The sequence below is a fragment of the Homo sapiens genome, chromosome 1 (genome assembly GCF_000001405.40).
Source record: "Homo sapiens chromosome 1, GRCh38.p14 Primary Assembly".
In the NCBI taxonomy this organism is placed as follows: Eukaryota; Metazoa; Chordata; class Mammalia; order Primates; family Hominidae; genus Homo; species Homo sapiens.
The window spans coordinates 80,089,803-80,113,311 of record NC_000001.11 but is presented as its reverse complement, the minus strand read 5'-3'; the positions used below and the strand labels follow the sequence as shown (position 1 = coordinate 80,113,311).

At 34.7% G+C, this 23,509-nt stretch overlaps 1 pseudogene; it reads left to right on the top strand.

The window, feature by feature from the left end:
• The first annotated feature begins 20,540 nt into the window (after positions 1-20,540).
• Positions 20,541-23,141, top strand: LOC553139 (PAI-1 mRNA binding protein pseudogene; annotated as a pseudogene).

The window sequence follows — 23,509 nt, the reverse complement described above, 5'->3', positions numbered from 1 at the left end:
TGATTCAGTTAAAATGTTACTCCTTCTATCCAAGTTTCCCAGATGTCTCCTTCATGCCAAATTAATTATATATCATCCTTTGGCTGTCATAGCAGCCATAGTCTTATTTTAAAAAAATATAATGTTGCATCATCAGAATGTGTTTCATGTCTTTATGCCATTAGACTGTGAGTTCCCACATGGCTGAGATTATCTTACTCTTGTACTATACATCCATCAATGCTAAATACTTTTCTTTATATAAAGGAGGTACACAATAATGCTTAATAAATACAATAAACATGGGACAAGTGTGTTAGTACAAGCATGGGCATAGAGTTGTGTGGATCCTTTTTGTGGACCATTTTTTTCTGATTCTGTACACCGTGTTCTATTTCTAGTTTGTCTAGGAATCTGAGATGACAATGATCAGAAATGGTAGGAATTCATTTGATAGAAAGATATTTTTTTAATGTCCCAAATTTAGACAGTGTTAAATTTTGACAGGGCTTAGTGTATGTTAACATTGTCCAGTGCTGTCATCTTATAGCCTTGCCATTCACTGAATAACATCTTATTATTTTCAATGTATTTGTTTTAATGACTGTTTGCAAAGTGTTCTAGATTTTGCCAATATGCAGACTTACACATCAGAAATCTTCTATTAAATTTTCCAACTTATTTGACACATTATGGTTGATTTGAAATTTCTACTCTTTGACAAAATTTGCCCTCATCACCTAAGTATTTGAAATACACTTGTTTGTTATGCATTATTCATATCTATGTATAAAGTATATTTAATATAGTAGTCTTATTGAGTATTGATAGAATTGAAGCTTTATGTTGTGACTTTTACACAGATTACATGTTTACTGTATAGTACCCAGGTGATACATAATCATCTATAAATCTGATGACCAACTTTTGAAATTTGAAAATAGTCACCATATTTCAGTGTATATACCTAGTTATTTTGTTTTTGGAGAATAATAATGTATATGTAATACTTCTTATACAATTAAAACTGCTAAATATATATTCAGTAATTAATATTCCATAATATAGAGCAATATATTTATATATTTTTTTTATTTTTTAGAGCAATATATTTATTTATTTATTTATTTTTTAGAGAAGAGTTCTAACTCTGTCATCCAGACTGGAATGCTGTGAAATGATTATAGCTCACTGCTGCCTCAAACTCATGTGTTCAATCAATCCTCCTACATCTGTCCCCTGGGTGGGCACTATTGGCTCAAGCCACCATACTTACCTAGGTTTTTTGTTTGTTTGTTTCAGAGACTGAGCGTCTTGCTATGCTGCCCAGGCTGATCTCAAACTCCTGGTCTCAAGCAGTCAACCCACCTCAGCCTCCCAAGTAGCCAAGATTACAGGTGCAGTGGCTAAAGCAGTATTTTTTAAAATCTAAAGCCACTTCAAGAAATAGGGAAAATACACAAAATTAGATTAATATAGAAGAAGAGCTATTCACACAGTAACTCTACAAATACATCAAAATGTATAGAAGATTAGATACTTTAGAAGAGGGCACATAGGCCAACAGAACAGAAAAGAGAACTCTTAAAGTCTCATACCTTCAGCCATCTGATCTTCAACAAAGTTGATTCAAATAAGCAGTGGGGAAAGGATTCCCTATTCAATTAATGATGCTGGGATAGCTGGCTAACTGTTGCAAGAAGTCAGGGACCCTGAACGGAGGGAGTGGCTGGAGCCGTGGCAGAGGAACATAAATTGTGAAGATTTCATGGACATTTATCACTTCCCAAATAATACTCTTATAATTTCTTATGCCTGTCTTACTTTAATCTCTTAATCCTATTATCTTCATAAGCTGAGGATGTATGTCACCTCAGGACCCTGTGACAATTGTGTTACCTGTACAAATTGATTGTAAAACATGCATGTTTGAACAATATGAAATCAGTGCACCTTGAAAAAGAACAGAATAACAGCGATTTTAGGGAACAAGGGAAGACAACCATAAGGTCTGACTGCCTGCAGGGTTGGGCAAAAAGAGCCATATTTTTCTTCTTGCAGAGAGCCTATACAGACGTGCAAGTAAGGAAGATATCGCTAAATTCTTTTCCTAGCAAGGAATATTGATTTTAATACTCTGGGAAAAGAATTGCATTTCTGGGGGGAGGTCTATAAACAGCCACTCTGGGAGTGTCTGTCTTATGCGGTTGAGATAAGGACTGAAATACGCCCTGGTCTCCTGCAGTATCCTCAGGCTTACTAGGGTGGGGAAAAACCCCACCCTGGTAAATTTGAGGTCAGATCGGTTCTCTGCTCTCGAACCCTGTTTTCTGTTGTTTAAGATGTTTATCAAGACAATACGTGCATGGCTGAACATAGACCCTTATCAGTAGTTCTGTTTTGCCTTTTGTCCTGTTTCCTCAGAAGCATGTGATCTTTGTTCTCCTTTTTGCCCTTTGAAGCATGTGATATTATGACCTAATCCCTGTTCTTGAACCCCCTCCCCTTTTGAAATCCTTAATAAAACTTGCTGGTTTTGCCTACGTTGAAATATTGGGGGCAGGTTCCCCCAATAGCTAACCATATGCAAAAGAATAAAACTGGATTTTTATATTTCACCATATACAAAAAATTAATTCAAGATGCATTAAAAATTCATATGTAAGACCTCAAACTACAAGAATCCTATAAGAAAACCTAGGAAACAACATTCCGGACATCAATCTTGGGAAAGAATTTATGACTAAATCCTCAAACGCAGTTGCAACAGAAACAAACATTGACAAGTGAGACATAATTAAACTAAAGAGCTCCACACAGCAAATGCAACTATCAGCAGAATAAAGAGACAGCTTACAGAACTGGAGGAAAAAATTCATAAATTATGCATCTGACAAAGGTCTAATATCTAAAATCTGTAAGAATCTTAAACAATTCAACAAGCAAAAAGCAAATAACCCCATTAAAAAGTGGGGAAAAAACATGAATAAACACTTCTCAAAAGAAGACATGTAAGTGGCAAAAAAAAAAGAAAAAATGCTCCAAATCAATAATCATTACAGAAATATAAATCAAAGCCACAATAGGATACCATCCCACACCAGGAAGAATGGCTATTATTAAAAAGTCTAAAAACAACAAATGCTGGTGAAGCTATGGAGAAAATGGAACACTTATACACCATTGGTAGGAATGTAAATTAATTCAACCACTGTGGAAAGCAGTTTGGGGATTTCTGAAAGAACTTAATATACAACTACTCTTCAACCCAGCAATCTCATTACGGGTATATATCCAAAAGAAAATCAATTGTTCTAACAAAAAGACACATGCACTTATATGTTCATTGCAGCAATAATCACAATAGCAAAGACATGCAATCAACTTTGGTGCCCTTAAACAGCAGACTGGATAAAGGAATTGTGGTAATATACACTGTGGAATACCATGCAGCCATAAAAAAGAAAATAATGTTCTTTGAAACAACATGGATACAGCTGGAGGCCATTATCCTAAGCAAATTTACTCAGGAATAGAAAACCAAATACTGCATATTCTCACTTACAACTAGGAGCTAGATATTGAGTATTCATGAACATAAAGATGCCAGTAATAGACACTGGGGACTACTGGAATGGGGAGGGAGGAAAGGAGCAAGAGTTGAAAAACTAACTATGGGATACTATGCTTATTACCTAGGTGATGAGATCAATTATACCTCAAACCTCAGCATAATGCAATATACCCATGTAACAAGCCTGCACATGCACTCCCTGAATCTGTAATAAAAGTTGAAAGTAAAAAAATAAAATAAAATAAACCAAAATGAACAAAAATTGAGTACAGTAACACTTAATTTAAAAAAATATTTAAGTTCCAGGATACATGAGCAGGATGTGCAGGTTTGTTACATAGGTAAATGTGTGCCAGGATGGTTTGCTGCACCTTTCAACCCATCACCTAGGTATTAAGCCCCCATGCATTAGCTATTTATCTGGATGCTCTCCCCACACCCGACCCCCACAGGCCCCATTGTGTGTTGTTCCCCTCCCTATGTCTATGTGTTCTCATTGTTCAGCTCCCAATTATAAATGAGAATATGCAGTGTTTGGTTTTCTGTTCCAGTGTCAGTTTGCTGAGGATAATGGCTTTGAGCTCCATCCATGTCTCCACAAAGGACATGATCTCGTTCCTTTTTATGGCTGCATAGTATTCCATGGTGTATATGTATCACATTTTTTTTATACAGTCTATCATTGATGGGCATTTGAGTTGATTCCATATCTTTCCTAATGTGAATAGTGCTGGAATTTTTAAAATTTGTGAATGTCTTTTACTAATGAATGCATATGCTTAGTGTGTTAGTCCATTTTGCAATGCTATAAAGGAATATTCAAGACTGGGTAATTTATGAAAAAAAATTTATTTGGCTCATGGTTCTCCAGGCCCTACTGGCATGGTGTGGCATCTTCCCAGCTTCTAGTGAAGGCCTCAGGAAGCTTACAGTCAGTGAAGGCAAAGGGGAAGCAAGAGTAATTCATGTTAAGAGTGGTACCAGGTTCTTTTAAATAATCAGCTCTTGATAAACTCATAGAGTGAGAACTCAGTCATAACCACGGGAAGAGCATCAAGCCATTCATGAGGGATCCACCCTCATGGCTCAAACACCTCCCACTAGGTCCACCTCCAACATTGGAGGTCACATTTCAACATGAAATTTGGAGGGGGCAAAACATCTAAACTATATCACCTAAGATGTCAATTTTTACAAATCATATTTTATTAATACTGAATTTGATTAAAATTTATGATAAAATATTGGGATTTAATATATATATAAACATATATATATGTGTGTGTGTGTGTGTATATATATATATGTAGGAAAACTAACAATTTTTGTAATCAATTCAATCACTTTCTTTGATTCTGCCCTTCTCTTAAACTATGTAAGTGTTGAAAATACTTTGAAAGAATTGGTGCTTCTGCCTTGCCAAACTTACATGTTATGCTCTTCCAATATTTTAGGGGCATGTCACTTTCATACACTACCTTAACCAAAATTATCAACTATTTTGCTTAATAGCTATGTATTTGAATATATCCAATTTTATACCAATATCTTTGAATATTTCTTCTTCTTGCCTTTCAGTACATACTTCTAGGCTGAAGTTGTTTTTTTCCTGAAATACATATTTGAGTGGTTCTTTTAATGAAATTCTGGGAGAGAAGTTTTTTGATTATTTCAGTTGTTTATAAAAAAGAGATTTGGAATTAAATGACACTGGCCCTCATCCCCTCCTGGGATAATGGATGTTCTACTAAAATAATGATCGTTTGTTAAGTCAATTGCATTCTTCCTACTTATACTTACTTTTTCACTCTATATTGCCAACTGATTGAATTTATTCACCTTTAAAATGTATGACTTTCTTCTTCTCATCCTTCTCTATTAAAGAACCAGAATAATACAACAGTAATGATATCTCATTCAGAGATAATATGTAGTGATCTAGCTTGTTAGGCTGCATGAGGAAAGTAGCAGAGATGGAATATTTTCATAAAGTATATCTGTACTAATATTAGTTTCTGAATAACTCATAAAACAAAAGAATACTGCCCATAATGAGACGACTGTACTTTTTCAGAGTCAATTTCCTAATATTTCTTGAAGTCTTCTCCTACTTAGGAAAACAATGATAGCAGCATTAATCAGTATGCAATTACGGATGCTATATGCTAAGAAGGTTTTGAGCTAACTTCTAAGGTTCACTAGTGTCAGCTACAGTATTCTTCTTCATTCTAAGAGAACTAAAGGGTCTTTCTCTCCGCCATAAGCTATCTAATTATGTAAAGAATAGAGATTAACTGATTATGATGAATAAATTAATCTCAGGAGAAGCAAAAACTCAGACATTTCTAATTAGCATAATTTTCCTGGGACAACTAGAAAAATTCTCTATTCTTATTAACAATAATCAACAGAACAATAATTTCGGGCAGCACACTACAAAATTATTAGAATCATCTTTAGGACACAGATTAAGAAGTTATAAATTCATATCAAAATTGTTTAAAAACTAACAACAAACAATGGCTGAAAGAGCAACCTCTGTTTCGACTTACAAGATTACTCACTTTTGTTTGTTATGCTTTTATCATCATCATCACACTGATATATTGAATATTTGGCTTGCATTATGCTATGCATTCTGTATGATGAAATAACTTTAATCTCTACAACAACTTAATAGGGTCAGTGTTAGTATCGCATCGAATTTAATGATCATGCACAATGGCAACCTTACTTTGCTTGGCTCTCATTAAACTATAATTTCTCTAGAATAGCTATTTTTAAATTTTTAAATCAATTCTTATTATATATTAATGATTTAAAATTTTTTACTTAAATATTTAAAATAACTGTTAATTTATTAAACTGATATGGAGCTAGGCAATGTGAAAATATATAGAATAAACATGAGATAGTTCTGGTAATTCTCAATATTTCATGTTTCTAGAAAGAACACCCTTCAGCATAGATTTGACATAACAGTTTTTGTTTTTATCTGATCAACAAATCAGAATGAAAATAAGGACTAGAGAAATGTTAGAATATATTGTTTTATGATACTTAAAGAAGAAATATGTAGGCATAACATGTCAAATCATAGAAAACAAGATCCCAAATTCTTAAGCCAAATGTGATTAATAAAATCATTACGAAAATAACAAGAATAGTTACATAAAAAGAAACAAACAAAAAACTACTTTGACAGATTATCTCCCTTAACAATATAAAATTATTGCATCCAAATAACTACATTTAAAAGTATGATAACATGGGGAGAGAAAATACTCTGAATTTTATTTTCCTTTGTACATCAGACATTAAAATGTGACCTTCATCATAAATGGACTATATCTGCTCAATGGAATGATGTGTATGATATTCATATTGACTTTTAAATCTTGAAAGTACTCTAGAATTCAAATATTGTGTTCTATAGTCTTTCATAAAAATAAACTTACCAAACAAGAAGATATCAACAAATAATATGTATTAACCTATTTAACGTTTGCCATGACTACCTATGATCATAAATATATATATATACATACAAATAAAGAGTGTATGTATAATAATATAAAAGCAGCAGTCACAGGATATCTTGCATGTTTGCAAGCTTTTGATAATGAATTATTAAATACTTGGCAAAGTGCTGTGTTAGCAGATAAACAAAAGCAAATGTGTTTGTCACATACATGGGAGATCAATGTGAAAGAATCATAATGCATATCTGCCAGTGTAACAAGGTAAGAGAAAAGAAGCACATGTCTGAAATACACATGCAAGAAGCTATCAAATGTCCATTATAGCTCCTCATACTTGCATCTCCATACCCCCTCACTCTCTAAACCCCAACCATGCTGGCATCCCTGGTCTTCCAATGATACTGCAGCCATACTCATGCCTTAGGATCTCCTTACCTGCCCTTTCCTCTGCCTGTATCCTGGATTCCCATAGACAGCCTGACTGTCTTTCTTTTGTTAGATTTTTTGTAAAATGTCACCTTTTCAGCGAGTTCTTTCATGGCCAACTTGTGGAAAATGGCAACCACTTCCCAGCCTTCCACATAAACCAGTAATTATATCACTAATCACCATCTAAAATTGTCATCACTGCATCCACAGTGCCTAAAATGATGCTATCCTATAATAGGCGATATATAAGTGATACATATTTGTGTATATATATATACCTCACAGCCTGATTTTATAAATAGTTTTATTAAAACAAAGTCACATCCATTTGTTGATAATGTTTATGGCTCCTTCACTCAATGGCTGAGTTCCATAGCCCTAAATATTACCTATTATGTACTGGATATATAGTGATAGCTGCACATAAGTGATATACAGTGATATCTTGCTTTATTGCACTTTGCTTTATTGTTCTTTACAGATATTGCGCTTTTTAAAAATTAAGATTTTTGGCAAGCCTACTTCAAGCAAGTCTATCTATGCCATTTTTTTCCCAACAGCATTTGCTGGTTTAGTGTCTCTGTGTCACATTTTGATAATCCTTGTAATATTTTAAACTTCATATTATTAATATATCTGTTATGATGATATGTGATCAGTGATCTTGATGTTAACAATGTAATTATTTTGGAGTGCCATAAACTGCACCCATGTAAGACATCAAGGTTAAGCAATGTTGTATGTATTCCGACTGCTCCACTGACCAGCCATTTCCCCACCTCTCTCCCTCTCTTCAGGTGTCTCTATTCCCTGAAATATATTGAAATTAGGCCAAGTAATAACCCTACATTGGTTTCTGCATGTTCAAGTGAAGGAAGAGTTTCAAGTCTCTCATATTAAATCAAAAGCTAGAAATGATTACACTCAGTTAAGAAGACATGTCAAAAAGCAGAGAGGCTAAATTCTAGGGCTCTTGTGCAAAAATATTTGGCCAAAGTGTGAATACAAAGGGAAAGTTCTAGAAGAAAATGGACACAGCTTAGATAAGAAAGCAAAACAGCCTTATTGGTGATATGGAAAAGTGTTTAGTGGTCTGAATAGAAGAGCAAATCAGCCACAACATTTTCATAAGCCAAAGTCTAATCCAAAGCAAGTGCCTAACTGTCTTCAATTACGTGAAAGTTGAGAGAAGCGAAAACCCCGCAGAAGAGAAGTCTGAAGTTAGCAGAGGTTGGTTCATGAGGTTGAAGAAAGGAAGCCATCTCTATAACATAAAAGTGTGAGGTGAAGCAGCAAGTGCTGGTATAGAAGCTGCAGCAAGTTATCCAGACGATCTAGCTCAGATAATTGATGAAGGTGGCTACACTAAACAACATATTTTCAATGTAGATCAAACAGCCTTATATAGGAAGAAGATGCCATTTAGGAGTTTCATAGCTGGAGAGAAGTCAATGCCTGGCTTCAAAGCTTTAAAGGACGGACTGACTCTTTTGTTAGGGGCTAATGCAGCTAGTGACTTTAACTTAAAGTCAGTGCTTATTTGTGATTCTGAAAATCTTAGGGCACTTCAGACTTATGTTAAATCTACTCTTCGTGTGCTCTATAAGTGGAACAACAAAACCTGGATGACAGCACATCTGTTTATAGTATGGTTTACTGAATACTTTAAGTCCGCTGATGAAACCTACTGCTCAGAAAAAAAGGCTTCTTTCAAAATTTTGCTGTTTATTGAAAATTCAATAATCTGATCAATTGATTGAAAATTCAATAAACAGCAATATTTGGTTACCCAAGCTCTGATAGAGATGTACAAGAAGATTATTGTTGTTTTCATGCCTGCTAACACATCATCCATTCTGCAGCCATAGATCAAGGGGTAATTTCAATTTTCAATTCTTATTATTAAAGAAATACATTTCACAAGGCTATAACTATTATAGATAGCGATTCCTCTGTTGAATCTGGGCAAAGTAAACCTTTGAAAAAGATTAATCATTCTAGATACCATTAAGAACATCTGTGATTTATGGGAGGAAGTCAAAATATCAACATTAACAGGAGATTGGAAGAAGTTGATTTCAATCTTCATGGATGACTTGGTGGGGGTTCAAGACTCCAGTGGAGGATATGGTAGAAATAGCAAGAAAACTAGAATTAGAAATAAAGCCTGAAATTATAACTGAATTACTGCAATCTCACAATAAATATTAAACAAGTGAATAGTTGCTTCTTATGGATGAGCGAACAACTTGGTTACTTGAAATGAAATCTACTCTTGGTGGAGAGCCTGTGAACATTGTTGAAATGACAACAAAGGATTTAGAATTTTGCATTAAATTAGTTGATAAACCAGTGGCACGGTTTGAGATAATTGACTCCAATTTTGAAAGAAGTTCTGCCTTGGGTAAAATGCTATCACACAGTATTGCATACTACAGAGAAATCATTTATAAGAGAATCAGTCAATGTGGCAAACTTCATTTTTGTCTTATTTTCAAAAATTGCCACAGCCATCCCAGACTTCAGCAATCATCACCCTGATCACTCAGCAGTCATCAATATTGAGGCCAGACCCTCCACCAGCAAAAAGATTACAACTCATTGAAGTCTCAGATTATGTTAGCATTTTTTAGCAATACATTATTTTTTAAATTAAAGTATCTACATTAAAAAAACATAATAGCACTGCAGTCAATAGACTTTAGTATAGTGTAGACATACATTTTACAAGCACTAGAAAAAAAACCTTTGATTTTGTCCTATACATTTTTGGGGGCCCATTTTACTTTATGAAAAATATTACTTTCTTTATATGCTCTGCATACAGAATTGTTTCTTTTACATCTAGTAGTTTTAATTATGTATATTAGCTGTGGATGACAAAAACTTAGAGTAGTCATGATTAAAGGTACAATTGAGGAGAAAATATGTTTATATTTCTGTGGCAAACAATGACCTAACATAATAGCCATAATTATGACTCATAACATATACCAAGACATGTCAGAATTTAAAATTATTATACAATTTTGGATTGTATTAATGTATTAATAATGCATTTATATAAATATAACTTAAAGAACACTAAACATCATTTTAAAATCATGCTTTCTGTGTACTTTTAACATACCAAATAGCCCTAATACATCTCCCTTGGCTATCCAGGAGTTTCTGTTATGTCCAAATTAGTTTGAGTAAAAAAGACTTGATTTTGGAATTTCAAATTTAACTTTGTGAAACTTGTCAAATATCAAAGTTTTAAAGAATTTGATCAAAAGGGGATCACAGGTCATTATGAATTAAAACCAAAATGACAAAAGATTTTAAAGGCACAAAGCACAAGAAACTATCTTCATGAAACATGGAATGGAATCTCTGTTTCCTAGGTCAGTTACCTAAAAAGTTAATAAAAACCTTTTACAATTTTCTATTAAAGAGAAGATCAATGCTGTGAGAAAACCTTGTTCTTCCAACACAGGAGCCCAGACTCTAGCCTTCTGTCAGTGTGCTTTTGATATTAATGTTCAATTTTTAGAAAAAAATATGAATAATTTTCTTTTAATTTCAGCAGCCAACTTGATCACACATAAAATTTTTTTCATTAGATTAATCTTTCACAAATCTTCTACAACTTACTTTAACCTTTGGTTTTTCCCTTTACTTTTTTCAGGGGGCATTCTACCTTGGGGGAAAAATTACTTTCTTTATATGCTTTGAATATAGAATTGTTTCTTTTATATGGAGTAGTTTTAATTATGTATATAAATTCTTAGTAACCCTAATTTTCTTATGAAAAACCTAGGAAGTAAGTCATTTTGAACTGTTTCATACCAGTATTTGTTGGTGAAAACTACTTTATAATTTTAGTCTCAATTTTTTAAAAATTGACAGGTCTAAATAGATTTAGCTTTTCTGTACCATATAAAATTAAGGTGTCAAAGTATATAATCATAAATATATGTGTAATAAGTAATGTTTCAGCATTTTAACATACTCAGAAATGACTCAGACATTTTATAATTATCTATTACTTAATTTAACATAACATGCTCTTAAGATTTTAAATTATTTAAAAGAATTTTGAAACTATGATACAGGCATCCCCCGCAACATCTTCCTCAGTTTCCCTGTATCCTAAGTATCCATGTGGTACCCAAGGATGGCTATAAAGGAAAGAGCCTGAGTGCTAAATTTACATGCGAGTATAGAACATAGGACAGAGGACAGATCTGGAAGATATAACCTCTCCTAACATAGCCAGGAGACAAAGGTGGGACTAGGAGGACAAGGACATATTGGGCTTGATTATGATTGGTGCTGGTGGTCTAGATGCTAGGACATGTTCCCAGGCATTACCGTGTCTACCTCTCTAGATCCTAGGGTGCAGAAGCTTAAAAACAAAGACAAGCTTACACTAATATGTGTGCAAACCTTCAGCAGTGCTCAGCAGCCAACTCTTATAGCTTTAATTCACAGAAAAATCAAACAAGCAACAGTTTTACGAACTTAAAACATCTAGCAGAAATAGCCTAAACCTGTCTGGCCAGTAGTCCCAGGCAAAATGTATGAATCATTTCATAATACTGCCAATTCCAAAGACATTCTAATTTGATTTTGCTAACAATTTTAGCCTAGTTTTATTTTAAAAGTATTACTAAAGTTGCATTAACTAAATGGCATTTCAATTTCTACTTTTCTGATAAAATATTTGATTCAACTGCTTACTTCTCTAAGCCAATTATTTAGAACTCTTTCATATATTTTGGAAGTCAAATATCACATACACATAAAACATATAAACATACAGATATATAGACAGAAGTAGATATTATAGGTTTATAAGATTTTATTCACCAGTTTTTAAGTAATTTATCTCCCTGCTTTAGACTATCAATCTCTAAATTACCTGTTCTGTATCTCTAAACACTTGTTAGGTAAGCAACCCTAATTTGCATTTCCAAAAGGATAATGCCTAGGTGAAAATTTACATCACAAGGGCAAAAAACTTTCATTTTGCTGACATAAAAGAAGGGCTTAAGGAAATGGCCCAGTGCAGACAAGATTGCCAGAAATATCTAAAACAAAGGTAAAGTTTTTAATGTAAATTTTAAGCCAAAGTCTTCTTCATTATGAAGGTTTCTAATGGCCTAGGTGAAGAGAGGGAGATGTTTTTACAAATGGAGATTTATTTTATAGATGTAATTTTATTTTTTACAAAGAGTTTCAAAATAGCCAGCTGAATGACAAAAAGTAGTTTGGAGACCAATTAAATTAGCTAGGTGATCTTTTCATTTAGCTTATTTCTCGATTGGGTTACTGACTTCAGAGTGGAGCCCCTTAATAGAGTAGAATAAAGCATTTTTCATGTATGAACATAGCATAAATAGCTCTGAATAAAAAAGTAAGAATATTTTATCTGAGGTCATATTTTTAATTAACCCTTTATCTAGCCTTATTATTTTTTCTTTTTAAGCCAAAGGTGCTTTTCAAGTGACTTACCAAAACCAATGAGCCTTAACAAAGGTCATGAATTAACTAAGGATGAACTAGATATCAAGCAGTCTTTGCAAGATTCAGAACAACCCCAAAGACAGCTCAAAGGGAAAACAATCTTGCTAGTCACAAATGGAATACAACCCATACCTGCCTGATCATATTCTTTAAGGTGTCATCCTCTCATCTGAGTTCCTGTCCATATAGGTCCGAAATCCTTGCATACTCCACAGACAGAAAGGACAGAAAATTAAAAGCTCTCCATTGAAAGGAAAAGGATGAATAAAAAATGGGTATACCTAAAGGTTAAGAGTCATACAAATAATTTAAAACAAATGATATCAGTTATCTGACTAGGAATTAAACCTGTGCTGTAACCAGGAAAGTTCAGGACCTTAGCCACTGGAGCATAGGGTGAAGTGGTTTTCGGTAAATTATCCAGGGGATCCAAAGAGGCAGTTTGTGTATACAAAGGATTTGAACTTTGTTTCAGGTCAGATTTTTGCTCTTCATTATCAACAAGAGAATTTCTAAGGCTAGCCATGGCACAATTACATGTGTTTTAGTGTAAACTTAATCTTTACATGACTACAAATAAAGCAATTTATTAAGAATGATATATTTCTAAAATATTTTTAAAATTTAGGAGTCTAATTTAAATAATCTATCTTTTGGTCATTGACAGTTAGAATTTCCAACGGTGTACTTATTTTAATAGCGATTCAATTCAAAACCAAAATGTATACCAGTGTGGCCATATCCAAGGCTAGTCACACAAATTATTTTTTCCCATTAATCATGATTTTGTAAAGGAGACAAACAGTGATTTTTATTTTTTTTACCATCTGCTTGACTGGATCACAAAAAGAGAGCCTGGGAGCCTAATCTGTAAGAAGTTCTTACCCATCTATTGGCTTATCAGGTCCTTGGTTCCCATTACTATGACTTCCAAAAGAGCAGAGTGGCTTTGGTGATACTGCACACAGTTTCAAAAGTACAGGGTCAAGAGAAACCTCCCCCTTCACTCTTGGACAGTTTACTAAAAAATCAACTCACAAGGGATATTAAAGGAGAAATGACACACACATTTATAAACATGCATACATGGGAGAATCACAGAGTGATTGCCCCCTTTAGGGAGAAATGAAAAGTCTTAAGAAATGAAAAGTCTTAAAACTTTGCTAAGGAGTGAGAACAACTGGCTGAATAAAACTCAGGACTCAGCAAACTGGAAGGTCCAGCACTCAGGGGAGACTCAGGAAAGACTCAGAAGGGACTCAGTCATCTGCAATCATGGAGTAGCCAGAGGGGCTCAAAAGACCCATACTGGTACCAACCTGTGAGTTCTTGCAATGTTCCTGCTGAAGAAGGTTGTGGTTAGAAGGGAAAATTGAAATGTAAATGGGGGAGCAGGGAAGTACAGGGCTCTCTGTTTTAGGGTCTGACTGCTTTTTGAGTTTGGAGACATTGCTTAAGTCTTAGGATTAGTTTCCTGTGACAATGTTATCTTCTGTGACAATTCCAAATTTTGTTTGGATGTTTAAAAATGTTGGTTAGAATCACAGAGTCAGAGGCGAAGCAAAATGGACAAACAGAACCCTGTAGCAATCATACCCCAACAGGAACATCAAATTCAACAACTGTTCATTCAAGAAAGCACCTTTATAAAAACCAAGAAATCAGGTGAATAGTCACAGTACCTGGTTTTAACATAATATCAAGCAATGAGGCCTTGAAGAGGGTAGGAAAGTCAGTGTTGCTTGCCTATATCACTTCTACTCCACCTCCTGTCAACGTCATGCAGAATGAGGATCTGTGGGCTTAGGGGAGACAGAGTAAAGTATATGTGGAACTTTGCATCAGAATTCAGTGCTGTCATTGTGGAATACAACACAGGGCAGCATTCTTCTGGCACTGACAGAGGGACCATTTAGACCAGCTCTGTACCAGAAGGGAATTATCTGTCCCAGTGAGAGGAATATGAGTCCCTGCATGTTCCACCCCCAGCTGGCTAAAGTGGCCTGGGGCCCAGAATCAATTTGAGAGGCAGCCAGCCCACAAGGACTGCAGTCCTTGGGTAAGCCTTGGAACCTCACTGGTCTTGGAGATAGTGGATTTGGGGTGCATGTGACCTAGTATGCTACCAGCCATGATGGGCAAGAAAGTGCTTACATCACCCCTCTCCTGATTCCAGGGAGTGCAGCTCAGAGGGGGACTCCTTTTGTGTGGGAAAAGGAGAGAGAAGAACACAGAGGACTTTGTCTTGCAACTTGAGTTCCAGTTCAGCCACAGTAAAATCAAGCAGCAAGCAGATTTCTGAAGGTCCATTTTCAGGATTTGGTTCCTGGATGACATTTCTAGGCCCACCCTGGGCCAGAAAAGAATCTGATGCCCTGAAGGAACAAACCCACTCCCTGCAGGATTCATCCACTACTGACTAAAAAGCCCATGGGACTTGAATAAGCATCAGTGGTAGCCAGGCCATAGTTAAAATGGGCCTTGGGTGAGGCCCAGTACTGTGCTGGCTTCAGGTATGATCCAGTGCAGTGCCAGTTTTGATGGCCACAGGAGTGGTCACAGCATCTTTACCCCAACACTAGGCAATCCAGCACAGAGACAGACTCCTTCTGACTGGGGAAAGAGAGGCGAGAGAGAAAGAGACTTTGCCCAGTAACTCAGGAAATTCTCCCTCATCCTACACAAGCCCACTCAGGTGGTATCTCTAGAAGTTGGCAAGAGCTGCAGCATTGTTGGGCACAGTTCATCACTAGTGCTGATACACCTACAGTGACCACAGACTTAGATCACAACACTTTGCATATATGAAAAGCTTTCTCAAGGACAGCTCAGACAGTGAAGATTTGAATAAATACCTAACTTTTCAATGCCCAGACAGCAATGAACCTTCATTCAGAAGCATCAAGAATATCTAGAAAAACATGACCTCACAAACAAATTACATAAGGCACCAGTGATCAATCTAAGAGTGATGGAGATATGTGACCTTTCAAACTGAGAATTTAAAACAGCTGTCTTGAGGAAACTCAGCACACTTCAAGGTAACACAAATAAGGAATTCAGAATTTTATCTGACAACTTTAACAAAGACATTGAAATCATAAAAAAAATTATGCAGAAATTATGGAGATGAAAAATTCAATTGAAAACTGAAGTGTATTAGAGACTCTTACCAGCAGAATTGATCAAGCAGAAGACATAATTAATTTGAAGATAGGCTACATGAAAATACACAAAGGAGAAAAAAGAATAAAGCATGCCTGTAAGATCTAAAAAATAGTCTCAAAAAAGCACACTTTTGAGTTATTCACCTTAAAGAGGATGTAGTGAGAGAGAGATTTAGGTAGATAGTTTATTCAAATAAATGATAACAAACAACTTTCCAAACCTAGAGAAAAATGAATATCCTGGTACAAGAAGTTCATAGAACACCAAGTAGACTCAATATGAATAACAACTTCATGGCATATATTAGCAAAACTCTCAAAGGTTAAGGATTTTAAAAAAATCATAAAAGTAGCAAGATAAATAAGCAAAAAACATATAATGCAACTCTGATATGAATGCAGCAGACTTCTCACAGAAAACTTACAGTCCAGGAGAATATGAGATGGCATATAAAATGTGCTGAAGGGAAAAACTTCCAACCTTGAATATTATGTCCATCAAAATTGTTATTCAAACATGAAGGAGTAATAAATACATTTCCAGACAAACAAAAGCTAAGAGATTTTGTCAATATCAGATTTGTCTTATAAGAAATGCTAAAGGGAGATCTTTAATCTGAAAGCAAAGGACATCAATAAATAATAAGAAATCATATGAAGGTATGAAAATCACTAGTAATACTAAGTACAAAGACAAATACAGAATACTCTAAAACTGTAATTGTGGTATGTAAGCCATTCACATGTTTAGCAGGAAGACTGGATGGCAAACCTATCAAAAATAATAACTACAATGCCTTTTTAAGAAATAGACAATATAAGAAGACAGACAACAAAAAGTCAAGAAGTGGAGAAGATTGAGTTAAGTTGTGAGAGTCTCTTAGTTTTGTCTTTGCTTGCTTGTTTTTTCTTTTCTTTATAATCAAAGTTAAGTTGTCATCAGTCTAAAATAATTGGTTATAAGATGATATTTACAAGCCTTATAGTAACCACAAAATAAAAAGCTATAACATGTACACAAAAAATAAAAAAGCAAGACATTAAAATATACTAATATGGTTTGTCTCTGGGTCCCCACCCAAATTTCATCTTGAATTGTAATCCCCATGTATTGAGGGAGAGACCTGATGGGAGGTGATGGGATCATGGGGCAGTTTTCCCCATGCCATTCTCATGACAGTGAGTTAGTTCTCATGAGATCTGATGGTTTTAAAAGTGGCTGTTTCCCCTGCACTCTCTCTCTCTCCTGCTGCCATGTAAGGCATGCCTTGCTTCCTCTTTTCCTTGTACCATAATTGTAAGTTTCCTGAAGCCTCCCCAGCCATGCAGAACTGTGAATCTAATAAACTTCCTTTGTTCATAAATCACCTAGTCTCAGGTAGTATCATTACAGCAGTGTGACAACAGACTAATAAATACACTATCAGGCAAAATCACTCTTACAGAAAGGAACACAGGAAGGAAAGAAGAAAAAAGAAAAAGAGGACCAACAAAACAACTGGAAGACAAATAACAAAATAGCAGTTTTAAATGCTTTTCTATCAATAATAACGTTGCATATACATGGGCTAAAATAAATCAAAAGACATAGAGTGGCTGAATGGATATAAAAGCAAGACCCAACTATGTGCTGCCTATAAAAAACTCACTTCACCCATCAAGACACATAGACTAAAATAAAAAAAAAAAGGTATAAAAAAAGATATTCCATGCCAATGTAAAGCAAAAAAGAGCTCTAGAAGTGCTTATAATTATATCAAATAAAATAGAGTTCAAGACAAAAACTGATAAAAAAGAGGCAAAAAGGTCATTATATAATGACAAAGAGGTCAATTCTGCCAGAGAGTATAACAATTGTAAACTATGTATACATCCATCACTGGAGCACCCAGATGTATAAACCAAATATTATTTGAGCTAAAGAAAAAGATAGACCCCAATGTAACAATACCTTGGGAGTTCACCCCACTTTCAGCATTGAAAAGGTAGTCCAGACAGAAAATCAACAAATAAACATTACACTTAATCTGCTCTATACATCAAATGGATCTAACAGATATTTATAGAATATTTTTCCAAATGGTGAAAAATAAATTCTCCTCAGTGCATACACATTCTCAAGAATAGGCCACATGTTAGGCCACAAAAACATTCAAAAAGAATAAAACCATATCAAGTATTATTTTAACCACAATGGAATAGAACTAGAAATCAACAATAGGAGGAATTTTGGAGCTGTATAAACACATGATATTAAACAATATGCTCCTCAATGATCATTTGGTTAATAAAGAAATTAAGAAAAAAATTCAAAAAATGTCTTGAAACAAATGAAAATGGAAATAAAACATGCCAAAATCTATGGAATACATCAAAAGCAATACTAAGAGAGAAGTTTATGGCAACAAATGCCTACACCAAAAAAAGTAGAAACACATCAAATTAATAATCTAATAATGCATCTTTAAGAACTAGAAAAGCAAGAACAAACCAAACCCAAAATTAGTAGGAGAAATAATACAGATCAGAGCAGAAATAAATAAAATCAACACTAAAAAAAAAAGATCAAGGAAATTAAAAGTTGGTTTTTTGAAAAGATAAAAATATCAAACCTGTAGCCAGACTAACAAATAAAAAGAGAAGACCCAAATAAATAAAATTAGAGATGAAAAATGAGACATTGTAACTGATACCACAGAAATTCAAATGATCACCAGAGAATATTATGAGCAATTATATGCTGATAAATGAGAACCTACAAGAAATGGACAAATTCCTAAACATATACAACTTTCCAAGATTTAGTCACAAAGAAATTCAAAACCTGAACAGGCAAATAACAAGCAATTAGGCAGAAGCAGTAATAAAAAGTCTCCCATCAAAGAATATCCTAGGATCTGAGGCTTCACTGTTTAATTCTATCAAACATTTAGAGAATAACTAATACCAATTCTGCTAAAACTGTTCTAAAAAATCAAAGAGGGAATACTTTCAAACTCATTCTATGAGGCCAGTATTACCCTGATACTAAATCCAGACAAAAATATGTGAAAAGAAAACTACAAGCCAATATCACTCATGAAAATAGACACCAATATCCTTAATTAAATATTAGCAAATCAAATTTAACAACACTTTAGAAAGTTTATCTATAATGATCAAGGGAGATTCATCCCAGGAAGGCAAGAATGGTTCAACATATACCAATAAATTAATATGAGACATATCACATCAACAGAATGAAGGACAAATCTATTAATATATGATGATTTTAGTTAATGCCAAAAAGTTCATTTGATACAGTTCAACATCCTTTCCTGATAAAAATTCTCATAAAACTGGATATAGAAGGAACATAACTCAACACAATAAAAACCCACAGATAGTATATTGAATAGGGAAAAGCTGAGAGCCTTTTCTCTAAGATCTGGAACAAAACCAGGATGCCCACTTTTATCCAACATAGTAGTGGAAATTCTAGCCAGAGGAATTAGACAAGAGAAAGAAATGAAGGGCAACAAAATTGGGAAGAAAGAAGTGAAATTATCTTTCTTTGCAAATGTTATAAACTTGTATTTGGAAAAACCTAAAGACCCCACCAAAATACTATTAGAACTGACAAATTCAATAAAGTTGCAAGATACAAAATTAACTTACAAAAATCTGTAGCATTTATATATGCCAACAGCAAACAATCTAGAAAAAAAAAGAAAGGAATCTCATATATAATAGCTATAAATAATGTGAAACACATAGAAATAAACTCAATTGAAGAAGTAAAAGAACTTTATAATAAAAATCATAAAACACTGAGTTAAAAAATTGGAGGGAACATAAAAAATGGATCTTGTAGGAAGAGCTGAAGCAGGAGATCTTGGCTTGGCATAGCCTGTTGCAACCCATGGAGGAATATGTCGCTGAGCCACCATGATGCCTGGACACTTACAGGCAGGCTTTGGCTGCATGGTCACCAACCAGTTTGACCAGTTGTTTGATGATGAAGTGGACCTCTTTGAGGTGCTGAAGGCAGGGGAGAACAAAAAAATAAATGGCAGCGGGGGTGACACTGGGGGCCCTGGGGCCAAGAGCACAGCTCAGGCCCTCCAACATGGCAGGCAAACAGTTGTGTATAGAGTCCCAGAAAGACCACAAGAAACCACTGCACCCCAGCATTGGCATGGTTGACAAGAAAGAGGAGACACAGGTGCTCATCGTGCTTAAGAAAGAAGGAATAAGGTGAGTTGGTAGAAGACCTGATCAACAACTTCAGGTTGAAGGAAAAATAATAGAAGACCAGAGAGACGATCACCTCTAGAACAAAGATTTGAAAAGCCACTTGAAGAAAAGGGTGGAGGCAAATTTTCAGTTGATAGACTGATTATTGACTGACCTATTCGAGGCCGTGGTGGTCTTAGAAGAAGTTGAGGGGGCTGCAGACATGGAATGGGCTGAGGAGATGGATTCGATTCCCATGGCAAATGTGAATTTTATAGGCATAGTGGAAGTGATAGATCTGTCCTGAAGCACAAGGACAAACATGGAGGTAATAGACCTCACTACTGGGGAACTGTTAAAGATGAATTAACAGATTTGGAATGATCAAATGTGACTGAGGCAACATCTGTAGGTGAAGAACATCCAGTGGCAGACACTGAAAATAAGGAGAGTGAAGTTGAAGAGGTAAAGAAAGAGGGTCCTAAAGAGATGATTTTGGATGAGTTGAAGGCTATTGAAAATATGGAGTGGGCAAAGTGGAATTTAATATCTGAAAACCAAATGAAGCTGCTGAAGGGCAGTGGAAGATGAAATATGTTTTTCATAAATCAGAGTGAAGAGGCTCATGCTGCAGACTCTGTTATGGACCATCTTTTCCAGAAGCCAGCAAATGATGTAATGTCTCAGTTGAAGATTAATTTTGGAGAACTTGGCTGCCCAGAACATGATGGCGAGGGAGGACAAGGTAGACGTGGGTGTGGCAGACGTCTGAACTGTGGCAGCAGGACTGACAAGTAAAGTGCTTCTGCTCCTCATGCGGATGACCCAGAGGCATTCCCAGCTCTGGCTTAGCTGGATACCATGAGACAACCCTGGTTCGTCTGTGAACCTTTCTGTTCAAAGTTTTTGCATGCTTAAGGATTCCAAATGACTAAGAAATTTTTTTAAAAAGACTGTCATTCATGCCATTCACACCTAAAGACTGAATTTTATCAGTTGTAAAAATGAACTCCTCTTGCTACACAGAAGAAACAAATGTGGTAGTCAATTTTGTATTTAGAAATATATTGGTAGCAGGGATGTTTTCATAATTTTCAGAGATGATGCGTTCTTCATGAATACTTTTTTATTGCTGCATGCAAATATGCATTTCTAAATTTGAAATATAGATGTGAACAGTGTGTACCAGTTTAAAGCTTTCAGTTCATTTGTGTTTTTTAATTAAGTATTTAGATGATCCCCCAATTACAAACTGGTTTTAAATCTTGGACATACCAGTTTTAATACCTGCTTTGCATTTTCACATGTGGTCAACTGGGACGTGTTAAACTTTCACTTGTCAAATTTTATCTTGTGTGAAAAACTATGTGTATTTTAATTTAGTTTTAATATTTTCATTTTGGGAAAAAATCTTTTTTTACTTCTCATGATGGCTGTTGAATATATATGCTAAATCTTTGTATACAGAAATATCAGTACTTGAACAAATTTAAAGCACATTGGTTTATTAACCCTTGCTGCTTGCATGGTTCATTAGGTTCAAATTATAACTGATTTACCATTTCAACTATGTTTACTTTTTAAATATGTGACTTTCCCATTTAAAAAGCCAAGTTACTCACCTTATTGGTGAAAGTTGTTTAAGCTACTTATTAATAAACACATCCTGTCAAGTCAAGTAGTTTTGTAGGTAAGGTTTTTTTGCCCCCTCACACTGGGTAGGTGAAATAAGTTGATTTGGCTAATGTGTAATAAATTGTTATGCAAAAGCAGTGTCTTGCCATTTGGTATGATTTCTGTGTGTGAAGGGACGTGAAATCAAAAGAGTACATGCATAACTGACAACTCTGTAACCCTTCCTTGTTCTAAACAGACCCAACGGGCACTAGCTAGTATGGTGAAATGGGATAGTATTTTAATTTTTGGAATTTGGAAAGCTGACAGCTTTACTTTATAAGGCTGGAACAGCAGCACCATCCATGAAATATAAACCAAAAATCTTTGCTGTTTCTGAATTTCCTAGATTGCTATTATTTAGTTCGAAGTTGATGAGTATTTATTCCACAGAAAGTGATAATTATCTTTTCTCTCTTCCTCCATTAGAAAATTAGGTTAATAATGGATTCCTTCAATGGGAGCATCACCACTTATTAAAACATACATAGAAAGAATGATGAATAAAACAGGCTTTCTAGGATTTTCTTTTATTATTTTGCCATATTTATTGATAAACAGGGAAGGAATTTTAAAAAAGTTTTAAGAATCTTTTGTCACTTTATTTTCAGTCATGTTCCCCCTGTGTATGGCAATGTCCAGTTTAAAAAATATTGGAGATCTTCAATGTTAAACATGTCTATTTAGCCAATTGGTTCTCACATATACTTCTAAAAGAGAAATTGTATGTACAAGAGTTATTCATTTGGATTGAATTTATTAATCTGTTACCTACTATTCTGACATTTTAGGAAGGAGGTAATTGTTTTTTTAATGATGGATAAACTTGTGCTGGTGTTTTGGATCTTATGATGCTGAGCATGTTCTGCACTGGTGCTAATGTCTAATACTATTTTATATTTACAAGCATACCTGCTACCCGGAGGCAAGCATTAACTCAGTCCATATGGCCTATTAAGCCCTCTTGAGATTGCAACATATGCACTCCTAAATCAGTGTGTTTAGACTTTTCAAGTGTCTAACTCATTTCTGAACATGTATCATGCTAATAAACCTCTTGATTTCCAGCAACATACTATAGAAAACACCTGCTATTAAAAACACTTCACAAGTTTAAAAAAAGAACACAAAAGGAAAGATATTTAATATTCATAGATTGGAAGAATAATAATTATTAAAATGTCCATACTACCCAAAGTAATCTGTAGATTCAATGCAATCTCTCTCAGAATACCAATGACATCCTTCAGAGAAATAGAAAACATAATTCTAAAATTTATATGAAACCACAAAAGAGCCAGAATACCGAAAGACATGCTGAGCATAAACAACAAAACTGGAGAATCACATTACTTCAAATAATACTATGAAGCTATAGTAACCAAAACAGTATGGTGCTGGCATAAAAACACACAGACTAAAAGAACAGAATAAAGCACCCAGAAATAAATCCATGCATTTACAGTCAACTCATCTTT